We start from the raw sequence: 14,930 nt of genomic DNA, 5'->3' as shown, positions 1-14,930 counted from the left end.
TTATGTATGTGCAAACATTCCAAATCTGAAAAAAATCTGAAATTTGAATCACTCTGGTACCAAGCACTTTGGATAAGGGATAATCAACCTGTATTTTACATTAGTTAATGGCTAGGCCAAATAAGAAAACTCTAATTATGATGTCAGGTCTGAAATTAAAACCTTCAAAAGCATCATATAAGAACAAAAGTCGCTTTATTTTAACAGATAAATTAAAAATAATGTTACTTTAAGCATAATTACACTTAAATTATAACCTTTAAAAACTACTTTTGTGTTACTGACAAACATAACATTATTATTTTGAACTGAAACAACTTTAAAAAGCTTCTATAATTTTTTGTTTACATGCAAACTGAGTGATAAGATGAAGATATCTCTTATAGTGATATGAAAGCAGAAATTTGTATTTTTAGTAGTTAATTAACTCCTTAAGGGTGCCAGATTAATGCTTTTCACACACACACACAAAAATTGTTTACCAAACTAACCAAATATTATGAGTAAGAATTTATTTCATTTTACCAGTATAATCAAACATACTGTACTTATACTTAATTTGGTTATCATTTCAAACACATACATTGATACCCTCAAAAGTTATCCAAAGGGTAAATTATACAAGAAGCTGGTGAAAAATAATCTTTTGCAATTATGAAACATATGCAGAAATAGGTACGAGGAAATAAAACTGGATGGCTTAACTCATAATCTGGATTTTAAACATAAGCTATAAATATCTACATTCAAAGAAACATATTACAATTTAAGTTGACCATGCTAGACATATGGATTTTCATAATAAAATATTAGTTGCCTCTAACACAAATTTTCCATATAGTTATCAAAAAGACTGTGCTCTTACCTATACTTAGGAAGATTTCATTTATCAAAGCTTCAATCACTGCGGAAGAGCTGACATTTCCAAGATGAGACCAACTTTGATATATTGCTTGCAAGAGAAGTGTCTGTGCTCTTGTAGCTTGAATTGTGAGATTTGGAAGTTCAAATATACCTTCAGTTATAGCAATCTGAGATCTTTTGGTCCTGCACAAGAAAACAGAAAGAATCGCAATACAGTAAATAGCATTTACAGACAACAAAATACTAAATGACTTAGGTTGCAAGGGAAGAAAGGGTATACATCCAAAGTATGTATGCAAACATACTACTTAAACAAAATAGATATGCAATTCTGCTAACTTTAAGTTCCACTATTTCAGAAACTCTGAATAATATAAAAATACAAACTAGAATGATGTCCATACACACATATTCACCTACACATATACTGCTCAAGCAATTACTACATAATCAAGGCAATCATCCTGAGTAAAAATAAAAATAGTGCTTCTTAACACTTAGAAAGGATTTACTAGCAAACCTGCATTGTTCTAGATTTCTTTTATCTGTTAACACGTTGAATCCTTCCATAATAACTCTATGAGGGAGGTACTATCATTATACTAGTTTTTCAAATGGGAAAACCAAGACACACACCGATATATTAAGGTATGAAATGTCATACTACTAAAAAGAGGAAAAATTAGAATTTAAATCCAGGCAACCTGATCCACAGCCCTCTATCCTAATACTTTCTCTCAGAAGTATTTATGAAGTATTTACATTACATGCAGGACTCTACTTGATAGTAACATGGAAAATTATTTTTAAAATTTCTGCCCTGGAATATCTAATTTGTTGATCCCTTATTCATTTGGTTTTGTCTATGAATAAAGTGAATTATGTAATTAAATTTTCTAAATAACAAAGCCTCAAAGTAAGAAAACATTTCAATATGTCTGTGAGCAACAAGTTTATACTGAAGGTTAATAAACATGCAAGATAAAATAGAAGAACAATAAAACAAAAATAGATTAAAAAAAATCAGGATGCTACTATAGTATACTGTATGTAACCTGCTCTTTCCTTAACCCCACAAACCCTCCACCATTTGTCATTTTCCCAACTGTAACCACACATGGAGAGTACAGAACTTCTCTTGTATATCACCCTACCTCATATTCTGGCCGCTGCTATGGAGACCAATTCAATGTACACTTTCATTTGCATTGCCTAAAGCCACCATGCAGCATGAGACACCAGCAAACTACTTTGCAATCATATATGCAGAAGATGGAAATGTAGGAACAAATGCTTCCCTCTCTTCTCCCACTAGCTGACTAGTCTCTGAGGAGTTCCCAGGAAATCGAGGACCAGGAAAGATAAAACACTAAAATAGGCCCAGCGCGGTGGCTCACACCTGTAATCCCAGCACTCTGGGAGGCCGAGGCGGGCGGATCACAAGGTCAGGAGTTCGAGACCAGCCTGACCAACATGGTGAAACCCCGTCTCTAGCAAAAATACAAAAATTAGCTGGGCGTGGTGGCATGTGCCTGTAATCCTAGCTACTCAGGAGCCTGAGGCAGGAGAATTGCTTAAACTCAGGAGGCAGAAATTGCAGTGAGCCGAGATCGCGCTACTGCATTCCAGCCTGGGCGACAGAGACAGACTCCGTCTCAAAAAAAAAAAAAAAAAAAAAAAAAGAGAGAGAGAGACTAAAATAACTGAACAAAGCTTTAATGGGACGTGGGACACTATCAAGCAATTTGAAGAAAACTATAAACCCAAATATCCAAGAAATTCAGCAAACCCCAAGCAGAAGAGAATTAAAAACATACCAAGGCATATTATAATCAAATTGCTGAAAACTAGTGTTAAGGAGAAAAACACATCACATGTAAAGAAACAAAGCTACAAAATGAAAGCAGACTCCTCATCAGAAATCATGCAGAACAGAAGACAACAGAATACCATGACTGAAATGCTGAAAGAAAAAGGAAAACTGTCAGCCTAGAATCCAAAATTCAGGAAAAAAAAAACTTTCAAAAATGTTAGCAAAAGAGCTTTTTTATGACTAAACGCTGGGAAGAATTCCTCACCAGCATATCTGTACTACAAAAAATGTTAAAGAAAATTCTTCGGGCTAAATGAATGTGATACCAGATGGAAATATTTGTGGCTCTACACAAAGAAATGTGAAGAGAATGGGAATGGTAAATATATGGGTGAATTTTTTAAAAAAAAAAGAAGAAGAAAGAAACATTATCTTCTAATAAGATTAAGAATTAACTGTTTAAAGCAAAAATCATAACAACATAGTTCAGAGTTTATGACATATGTAAAAGTAGAATGCACAATGTCAATAGCCAAGGACAGGAAGAGGGAAATGGAGGTTCTTACACAATGTATGACACAGTATAACATTATTTGAAGGTAGCTGTGATAAGTAAAAGATGTAAACTGTAAACCCTAGAACAACTAAAGCCATAAAACTAAAAGGTAAAACTAATAAAGGCAATAGTGTAGACAGAGTGGAATAAGAATGGAATAGAGAGGATGAAACGGAATGAATCTAAATAAAGTTATGAAAAGAAAAAAGAAAACAAACAATAGATGGGACAACTAGAAAACAAACAGCAAGATACTAGAACTAAACCCCAAAATATAGTATTAAGTCTCAAACGTCTAAGCATACCAATTCAAGGAAGAGATTCTTCGATTATATTAAAAAAAAAAAGACCCATATATATCCACTTTAAATAATAAAGTAGATAGGTTAAAAATTAAGGGGATAGGGGCATGAAGGAGTAAACGAACGAGCAAAACAAACACCACATAATTCTAATCAAAAAAGAGTTACACATTAACATTAGACAAAGTAAACTCTGGAACAAAGACTATTACCATGGATATAGAGAGATTTTTTTCATAATGATAACATGGTTAATTAAGTTTGTAGGCACTACACATCTCCGAAATACATACATTTTTTAAAATACAGAACTGAAAACAGGAATAGACAAATCCAAAACCTGAACATTTCAACACTCCTCTCTCAGGAATTGATAAAACAAATAGACCGTAAGTAAAGAATTAAAAACAAAAACAGTACTATCAATCAACTTGGCCTAACTGACATTTGTAGGACACCCCACCCAACAACAGCAGAGTACACATTCACCAAGGCATACTACAAGAACATAAAAGCAAGTCTAAGTAGAATGAAAAAGGCTGAAATCATATACAATATATGTGCTGATCACAATGGATTTAAACTATAAACTAATATCATAAAGTTATGTATAAATCTCCAAATAGCCAGAAGTTCAACAAATAAAATATAACTCAAATTAGGAACGTGGTAGATAAAATCTAGAAATACAAAAATAACAATTTTGAAAAATTATAAAACAATATTAGAAAAGGACACTGATATCAGTAACAGGAAAGGGCAATATAAAATATACATAATCAGTGTTCCTAAAGAAAAGAGGAAAACAAATAGAAAAGAAATAGTATACAGAAATATTTATCAAAAAAAAATCTTGTCTAAAATAAACACCTAAACTACAACGTGCACAATGTGTCACAAACAATACTGATTCTGAATGATCATTATCCTAGTAAAGCCACTGAACTCCAAAAATGATAAGGAAAAAATTCTATGGGCATTCAAATAGATAAAGGAATGTGCAGCTACGAAGAAGTAAAATGAAATTCTCCAGAATTTCCCAGACTTTCTATTATCCTTCCTACCCTGTTTACAACAGCCTAGTATACATAGTCAATTTATGTGCACAATTCATCCTTAAAAGAATATAAGGGAACTTTGGCCGGGCGCGGTGGCTCACGCCTGTAATCCCAGCACTCTGGGAGGCCGAGGCAGGTGGATCACGAGGTCAGGAGATCGAGACCATCCTGGCTAACACGGTGAAACCCCCTCTCTACTAAAAATGCAAAAAATTAGCCGGGCTAACATGATGAAACCCCCTCTCTACTAAAAATACAAAAAATTAGCCGGGCGTGGTGGCAGGTGCCTGTGGTCCCAGTTACTGGGGAGGCTGAGGCAGGAGAATGGTGTGAACCCGGGAGGCGGAGCTTGCAGTGAGCCGAGATCGCTCTCATAATTCATAACTCTCATAATTCAACAAGAACAAGATACACAGCCCAATTTTTAAAGTGAACATAGGACCTGAAAAGACACTTGACAAAGAAGATATACAAATGGCCAATAAGCGCATGAAAAAATGCTCAACATTATTAGACATCAGGGAAATGAAAATCAAAACCACAAGATACCACTTCATACCCATCAGAAGGGATGTAATTTTAAAAAATAAAAATAAGCAGAAAATAACAAGTATGGCCTGAATAGGTAGAAATTGGAACATCACGCACAGAGGTATAGTTACTATGTAAAACACAATTTGGCAATTTGTAAAAAAGATGAACATTGAGTTATCATATGACCCAGCAATTATATTCATAGGTATATACATACCCAAGAGGACTGAAAACATGTTCATACCAAAAAATTGCACAAGAATGTTCATTGCGGCACTATTCTTAGCCAAAAAATGAGAACAACACAAATGTACCCCAACTGATGAATAAACAAAATGTATTCGATCCATACAAAGGAATATTATTCAGTGATAAAAAATTAAATACTGATACATGCTATATAACATGGATGAACCTTTAAAATATTACATTAACTGAAAGAAGTCAGACCAAAAAGTCACATATTATATTATTCTGTTATTATAAAATGTCTAGACTCATAGAGACAGAATTTCTTTTTTGAGGTTTTGAAAATGTTCTGGAATTAGATAGTGGTGATGACTGCACAAAACTGTGAATATAGTAAAAACCACTTAATTGTACACTTTAAAATGATGAAATTTATGTTGTAAATTTTAGCTCAATGAAAACAAACTAGGTCCCTAAAGTATTAGAACTCTGTTCTTAGCAAAACTGATTCAAATACCAATGCCTTCCCTCACAAAAAAAAAAAAAAAAAAAATGTCCAAACAACAAAAACAAAAGCCTAGGGTCACCCCTGCCTCTGTCTGTCTCTGTCTCTGTCTCCGTCACTCTCTCTCTCTCTTTTTAAGACAGGGTCTCACTCTAGCCCTGGTTGGAATGCAGTAGCATGATCACGGTTCACTGCAGCCTCCATCTCCCAGGCTTAAGCAATCCTCCCACCTCAGTCACCCGAGTAACTGGGACAATGGGTGCATACCAGCATGCCCGGCTAATTTTTATTTTTTTATAGAGACAGGATCTCACTTAGTTGCCCAGGCTGGTCTCAAACTCCTGGGCTCAAGCAATCATCCTGCCTCACCCTCCCAAAGTGTTGGGATTACAGGCATGAGTCACTGCACCCGGCCTACCCATCTCTCTTAATTAGTATGTAAGATCAATCAAATACACAGTTGCCCAATAAGAAAGCCACTATCCCATCCAACAACTTTCAAATCCTTAATAGCAACATGTGACACTACCTGTGTCCCTCAATCCACAATTCTGATCATATTTGGCTATAAAAGCCAAAGGATTGGAATGAATGGACCAGAAAATAAATATGCAGTAAATAAAAGATCCCTTATGCCAAACAGGTAAAGTAGTAGAGATCAAAAGAAATAGAAGGATAAACAAATATGACTCAATTCATAAATCTGAATGTAATTATCCTTATTATTTCCTTTCGCTTTTCCAACATTTAGAATATTTTTAAAGACATTTTCTTTTCTTTCTCATTTTCCTTTTTATTCTATAAGCATTTTAAAATAGTTAACTAGGTCTCTCCACTATGTTCTCAAATTTCTGTTCAAATTCCTGAACCGCCCCCCGCCCCTGCACCAAAAAACCCACAACATTTTATTAGTGATAAGTAGTAAAGAACACAGATATTTGGAATATCTCCTATAATACGAAAATGTACAATTAATCTATCTTCAGGCACTCTGTGGCAATTAGGAGGTCCTATCGTGTAGCAAGAGCCATGTTCATATAACTACAGCAGTAAGTATTTGTATGGCAATATTATAGATGGGATTCATTTTTTTTACAAGCAGGTCTTTACTATTTCATAATAAATTCAGCTACCGTATATGGTACCCTTTCAAGCCAGCTTATATCACCTAAAATGTTCCCAAATGGATAACATAGACTTGAATAAAAACTTAAACACATGCAAATTCAGAAAGATTAATATATTGTACATTTTAGTAATGCCCAAGGGTAGGGAAAAATTCTCTCCTTAATTATTTTAATATCAAAGGAGAAGCTTACTTTGTACAAAAGTTAGAATTCAATAATAAACACGCCAATTATACACACAGGATATGTCTTTGTGGTTTATTTTTCAGCTGTAACCCACAACAAATAAAAATACATTCTATTTATACTTCTGTTAGATACTCCAGTAGTATTTAAACTGACATAAATAAATTTAAAATGATTTGGGTATAGATGGTATCTTACACAATTATCTGTTAATGTAACAATACCAATGAAGAGGGGTTTTTCTCTTTTGTTTTTGTCAATTTTGAAATATTTGTAACTGGTTAACAAATGTAGAAAATAACAAATACTCAATGTATCTATTACCAATTCATCAAGACATAACATTATACCATATTCACCTCAAAAAATTTTTTAAAGATCAACAGCTTTTACAACTTTATTTAAACTATTTGGGGGAGTCATTAAAGTGTCAATAAAAATGCACAATAAAAAGTGTATTTTTCCTTGTGATTTAGACTACTACATATTTATTAAACTTTACTTAAAACAAAATAGTTCAATATAAATTCATACCAAAAATTTCTAACTTCTGGACTTACCTAATATTTTGAAATATCACTAAATTTCCATTTTAACAGTTAAGCTGTTGAATATAAAATAATTTCTTTAACACATGCCTATTCCTCATATCCAGAAGTCTTAGTCTGAACATATGTTCATTTTACAGAATAGGTTTAAAAACTATCAATTCAAACATTACTCTCTAGGGAAAAATAAATCCTAGTGTAACTAGTGGGATAAACAACTCATTAAAACTCAACTTGGACAAACTCCAGGATAAATTAAAGGAAATAGAAACAAGTAGGTCTTGACTGTATAGTAGCGAAGACTAAAAATGAATATGGCCTAATTAACAAATACTTTGAAAGACTTTGCTTGTACCATTTGTTGACAAACTATAACAGAGAGCTGATGAAATTTCAGGACCAAATGGGCATTTCTATAAAAAAAAATTCCTTCTTCTAAATTTTAAATAAAAATGATGGAAGTGTGGTTCTTACTACTCGATGCAAAGAAATTAAACAATCCATTCAAGTTCATAGCGATACCATTAAATTTTTGCCATATGTACACTTGAGGAACAGCCATCCATTCTTTTAAAATCAACACACCTCATAGCAATTGAAAGAATATTCTCAGCAACAGCTGGATCTAAAGATTTATATAGAGTCCCAAAATGCAAAGTTTGAACCTACAAACTGGTTCCAAAAATGTATTTTTGTTATTACTCATATCCTGTACAGTAAAATAAGATTAGTTCACTTTTTCCAAAATAAAATGAGTACAGTTCTTTGCTAACTCAACTTAGAAATGAAAACAGTTTAAAAAGCTAAGATGTATATTTCTTTACACAGTGACTACTTAACTTACACATCAATACTCAATGAAAAGAAAAAAAGTTTTTAAAGTTTTAAAAAATTAAATAGATAAAATGAAAAGCTAATACTATTTACTCCCAACTCCACACTCTACAGGTAACAACTTTTTATGAGTTTATCATATATCCCTGCAGACCTCTGTATATTCATTTCATGCACTCAAATATACATTTATAATTTTAATGAGAATATACACATAGGTGTATGTCTACAGCCTACTTGATATGAGTAAACAACATATCTTAGAGATCACTAAGATCTTTACATGAATACAAATCCTTCTACAGTGGTCTTTTTAATGCATACATGATATCACGCTGAATTTTCACATTCGTCAGCAGTGTATCGGAGTATCTTTTTCAACATCCATTAGCTTTTGCCATTTTTTTTCTTTTTTTCAAAGCAGAGTCTCGCTCTGTCCCTGAGGCTGAAGTGCAGTGGCACGATCTCAGCTCACTGCAGCCTCCGCCTCCAGGTTCAAGAGACTCTCGTGCCTCAGCCTCCAGAGTAGCTGGGATTACAGGAGCGTGCCACTGCACCTGGCTAATTTTTGTATTTTTGGTAGAGACGGGGTTTCGCCATGTTGGCCAGGCTGGTCTCAAACTCCTGACCTGAAGTGATCCACCAGCATCTGCCTCCCAAAGTGCTAGGATTACAGGTGTGAGCCACCATGCCTGGCCAGCTTTTGTCATATATTTTTAATTACAATGATTTTAGCATTTGCAAATAAAATACAAATTATATCCTGTTTGTCGAGATATAAAAATATGTTAACATTTTTCAAATTTCTGGAATAGTTTTATTTGAATTAAAATATTAGATGAAAAATAGGAAAATATAAGAAAAGCTGCCTACCACTAAAATAAAAGTGTAATAAATGTCTTATTACCATACATAAAATCCAAAATCTTAAAATGAACTAAGCAAACAAAAATGAATTCTTATAAAACTACCATGAGATACTATTTCAACCCCACTGGAATGGACATAATCAAAAAGACAGACAATAACAAATGTCAGCAGGGCTGTGAAAAAACAAGAACCTCATACATTGTTGGAAGGAATATAAAATGATATCATATTGCAAAACAGATTGCAGTTTCTTAAAAAGTTAAACATAAATTTACTATATAATCCAACCATACCCCTGTAGGTATCTACCCAAGAGAAATGAAACCATTAAGTCCACACAAAGACTACATGTTCATGGCAGCATTATTCATAATAGCCTTAAAAGTGTAAGCAACACAAATGTCTATCAGCTGGTGAATGGATAAATAAAAAGTGGTCTATCCAACCAATTGACTACTATTTAGCAATAAAAAGAAGTGAAGTACTAATACATGTTACAAGGTAGATGAACCCTGAAACAAAAGACCACAACATATTATAGATTCCAGGGACAGAACATGTCTAGAGATATTTTCTATTTCTAGAGATACAGAAAGTAAATCTACAGTTCCTTGAAGTTGGGGTAAGAATTAGGATTAACTGTAACAAAGAGGATCTAATTAGGGTGACATGATTATGTTGATGAATGCTCAACTTGGTAAATTTACTAAAAATCATTGAATTGTATGCTTAAAAACAGATTAATTTTATGGTATGTAAATTATACCTCAATATAGTCATTTTTTAAAAATGAATACTTATAGTTTACTTAAGGATTACCTTTATTACTTCAATACTACATTTATGAAAAAATATATTTATATATTAGTTACTAAGATTTTCCAACACTCTGAAACACTACAATTCAAAAGAAAAAATACCCAATTTAAGTCCACATTTATTAGGCAAGTACTAAGTATTAGATACTATTCGATGCTACACAATAATACAGTTAAAAAGCCACTCTGTGCTTACTGAGAACTTAATATCTAACATACCAAAAGATATTCATTGTTTATCCAAACATCTGCCATGCAGAGACCAAATGCAAACTACTAGGCTGCATATCTCCCCAATTCCATCTGAGCATTTCAATATGTATGTTGAACTTTTTACATATTAATCTCCAGAGTAAAATTTCATGCAAAGAAAAAATTCTTCAAAAAAAAGAAAAACAAACAAAAACCCCATTAACCTATATAAACTTCAATATACCGTCAATAGAGCAGCAGCGGGGCATAATGTCTCAACCTAGTGTCTAAATTCAACAAAAGTACTGATGTTAAATAAGAAGAAAACGGCAACAATATGAACAAAAAGGTGTAAATGTGACATATCTTTGTATTAAAAACCATGAGTTCATTCTGATACCTCCAATTCAAATACAATACCAAGGTGAATTATAGTCTTCCTCCTCTTTTTTTTCCATGACGGCCTACCATTAAATATAGTCTTCCACAGCCAGGTGCGGTGGCTCACGCCTGCAATCCCAGCACTTTGGGAGGCCGAGGTAGGCGGATCACCTGAGGTCAGGAGTTCAAGTCTGGCCAACATAATGAAACCCGAAACCCAGTCTCTACTAAAAATACAAAAATTAGCCAGACATGGGGGTGGGTTCCTGTAATCCCAGCTACTCAGAAGGCTGAGGCCCGGGAATCTCTTGAACCTGGGAGAAAGAGGTTGCAGTGAGCTGAGACTGCACCACTGCACTACAGCCTGTGTGACAGAGCAAGACTCCGTCTCAAAGAAGAAATAAAACGATAAATAAATATAGACTTTCTCTTTAACATATTTGTAACTCCTTCTCCACAGGTGAAAAACCTGGATACCATTACTCTGAATAAGCCTACTTATTTAGTCAAGCCTAGAATACACAGAAAGTGCTTTAAGAATTGCTTAACTCATATCATTAGTTGCTAACTCATTCCACTGCAAAAAAGCAAACAGATTTCAATTTTGTTTTCAGTCCTTTTTTCTTTAGGTAAAATTTACAAACAGTAAAATATAAAAAGAATTTTATATTCTTTTTATATATTCTAAAAACTGTAGAATTTCATGAATCTTGACAAATACTCATAACTGTGTTATAACCCTCACCCCAAAAAGATACTGAAATCACCATCTCCCCAGAAAATTCCCTGTGTTCTTCCCAATCAATCCTTCCTCCTTCATCCTCCCAAAGGCAATTTAGACTTTTTTCCACTACAGATTAATTTTGCCTGTTCCAGAAATTCATATAAATAGAATCATACCATGTTTCTGTTGTGCCCAGTTCTTTTCACTCAGGAAACACAACTGTATATATCAGTAGTTCATTATTTTTTATTGATGAGTGGTATTTGTTGTTTAAATATACCACAATTTATTTAATCTCCAGGGTTATTTCAGTTTGGGATTATTTTGAATAAAGCTGTTATGATCATTCTCAACGTGGTTTTAATCTGCAATTCCCTTATGTATAGTTGTTGGGTTCTTTTTTATGTGTTTGGTGACCCTTCCTTTGTGAAATGTCTGTTCAAGTCTTTTGCCCATTTTTTAATTGGTTGTATTTTTTCTTATTCAACTGTAGGATATTTTCATATATTCTGTATACAATAATTTTTTCAGATGTTTTGTGCATCTTTTTACTCAGTCTGTTCCTCAGTTTATTTTCTTAACTGCTTTATAGAAGTTTATAAATTTATTAATAGATTATACCTATTATATTAATACATGTGATTAAAAACAAACTTTTCCTTTTTGGCATGTCAAATAAAACTTTATACAATCTTTGAGAGAAAGGTGACCCATCAATTTTATAAATGTATGTTCACTGAAAAAAGTCAGAAAAAAGTAAATATGCAATAGTAATAATCACAGCTAACTTGCATAAAGAACTTGTTATGTGTCAGGCACTATTCAAAGCAGCTCATATTTGTTAACTCATTTAAGCCTCAAAATAACTCGAAGGTAAGAATTAAGAATTGCCCCTTTTACAAATGAGGAAACTCAGACACAAAGACTTTCTCAGCCACAAGGCTAGGAAGTGGCAGAGCCTATATTTAAATGCAAGGAATCCAGTTCTGAGGTCCATGCTCCTAACCACTATAATACATAAACCACACATTACCTACCACTCACATAACACCATCACAAACAGTTTAGCAATAGCCCAGCCTTTTTACCTGTGCAAGCATATTTTTTGTTCAGATTAATAGACTAACTCTGTATCCCTCTGTTCTGTGACCTTTTTTCACTCGATATTTATCATGAGAACATTTCTATACCAATAAACATATACTACAACAAAATTTTAATGGCTATCCTACATATTGCTAACTGGTATGAGTGTAACATAATTTATACAACCTGTTTTTCATTATTTGCTATTTACATTTTTCCATTTTATCATAACTAATTATTGGTCATTCGCTTAATTATATCTAAGGACAAACTCCTAAAAATGGACATGCTGAGTAAAAGATATTCATGCTTACAGATTTTGATGGATATAGTCAAGCTGTACAGCAGAAAAGTTGTAAGGATCTGTCATATTAAATTTCCACCACTGGTGTCACAATCCTTAACATTCTGAATATTATATTCATTTAACAGTACACAAAAAAGATGGTTAATTCTACATTGTTTAAATCTTTACTTCTCTACTATTAAGGCTAAAAATTGTTCAGGTTATACCTACTTACGTTGCTTTTATTTGTGAATAGACCACCTCTCCAATTTAATCTCTTATCTATCTCCCTTTACTATGTTGCAGTCACACTTGACTTCTATCTGTCCTTCATATGAACTATATCTATTTCTACCTTGAGACCTGCACCAGCTATTCCCAACACTTGCAACACAATTTCCCAAAATCTTTGTATGGCTGCCATTGACTGGTCATTTAGGTTGGAGTCAAAAGTCACATCCATGTAAGAGAACTTCCCTGACCATTTTAGACAAATAAACTCCCCAAAACATTCATTTTCTATCCCATTGGCCATAATTTTTCTTATTACTCACCATTATCTGAAATGCATGTATTTGTCTTAATGCAGTGTTGGCTCTACCTCTTCAGAATATTGGCTCCATGAAACAGAGACAAGGTCTATTTTGTTTACCACTGCATTCCCAGCATGTAGAATGATGACTGGAATTATACCATGGACCCAATAAATATTTATAAATGAGTTGCAGCATGAGTTGTAAGTCTCTGGAGGGAATGGCCTATATACTATACTTGCTCGATATGAGCCAAAAAGTGGTGCTAGTATTACGGAATATGGAACAGCTTAAATAATGGTTAACTGATGTGTGGTAGCAAACAAACAAAATACAAAAGAAGTAAGATGCCTTTACATTATCTCATCTTCTAGACAAGTTAATTTAAAACAGACAATTCATCTACTTAAAATAAGAATGTAACTGCTCAGGAAAAAAAGGAGATGAAGTGTGTTTATACAATATATTTTATATATGTAATTAATAACTTTCAAATATTACCTTGAGAACTCTGAATAGGAAAAGTCACTAAAATTTTAGTTTAATTTAAGTAATTAACATCACTGATTTTCACTTTGGCCAAGAGTAAGTTTTGCATGTATAATGTGAGCTAATAGGAGATAGAACTTGATTGTCAAAAAAGTATACAATCTAAAACCTCATAAATCAGAAAACCAAAAAAAAAATTGAAATTGTTAAAGAAACAGCCAGACGCATGCCAATAAATATTTACTCATGTCTACAACAGATGCGAGGTTTTCACGATAAACGTGCCCCACAGAAAAAGAGATGTTTCTTATGGAGCTTAAAATAAAACGAGTGGGAAAGGCTATTAAATAATCACACAAAGCAGTGTAAAATCACTTCTATGAAAAGTACAATGAAAAACAAGAACATTATCTCATATTTTAAAGCATATTTTAGAGGGGAAGTGACCAGGTCAGAAAAAGTATCAACTGGAGTAGCATCTGGAGTCAGTTACAGTTATTTAGGATACAGAATAGTAAAACAATAATAGTGAACAATTTGGTAAAAGGAGAGAAAATTTTTAAAAGCAAGAAGGAGGGGACAGAGAGGAGGACGTTTCAGATGAGTGTAGAAAGCCAAGCAGGGGCCAGACCATAGAGGGCATCAAAGAATATTTTAAAGCTTTTAAACTTTACCATATAAATTGTAAGAAGCAAAGTATTCTAGTAAAGAGGTCATAATTAGATCTTCCAAAAACAAGCCAAACAAACAAACAAACTTGGCTGCAGATGTATGAGTTAGACAGTATTTAAGAACACCTGTCTAAATTCTTAAAGTATCAAGAAAGGAAACACAAAGACCAAGTGGTATTCACACTCCAAGGCCTACAACACAACAGTTTTAACATGATAGGCACCAAAATTTTTTTTTAATGAATAAATGACTCATTAGTCAGTTGAAATCTGAACAATGTTAAGTATTAACAGATTCTTCTAAGAAGCTGGCAGTATTTTTTAAGTTATAAGGCATAATGAAGAATACAAAGTTCTTATCTAG

General features: G+C 33.2%; 1 protein-coding gene across 3 annotated transcripts in view; it reads right to left on the bottom strand.

Annotated features, from left to right (window-relative positions):
- VPS13B (vacuolar protein sorting 13 homolog B) overlaps nt 1–14,930 on the bottom strand; it is an 864,307-nt gene that overhangs the window by 683,658 nt on the left and 165,719 nt on the right. For all 3 annotated transcript variants that reach the window (NM_152564.5, NM_017890.5, NM_015243.3), the window contains exon 17: nt 866–1,047. In NM_152564.5, the coding sequence (NP_689777.3) occupies nt 866–1,047 (182 nt within the window). The remainder of the gene's footprint in view (nt 1–865; nt 1,048–14,930) is intronic.

The sequence above is a fragment of the Homo sapiens genome, chromosome 8 (genome assembly GCF_000001405.40).
Source record: "Homo sapiens chromosome 8, GRCh38.p14 Primary Assembly".
NCBI lineage: Eukaryota > Metazoa > Chordata > Mammalia > Primates > Hominidae > Homo > Homo sapiens.
This window is presented reverse-complemented; position numbering and strand designations above follow the sequence as displayed.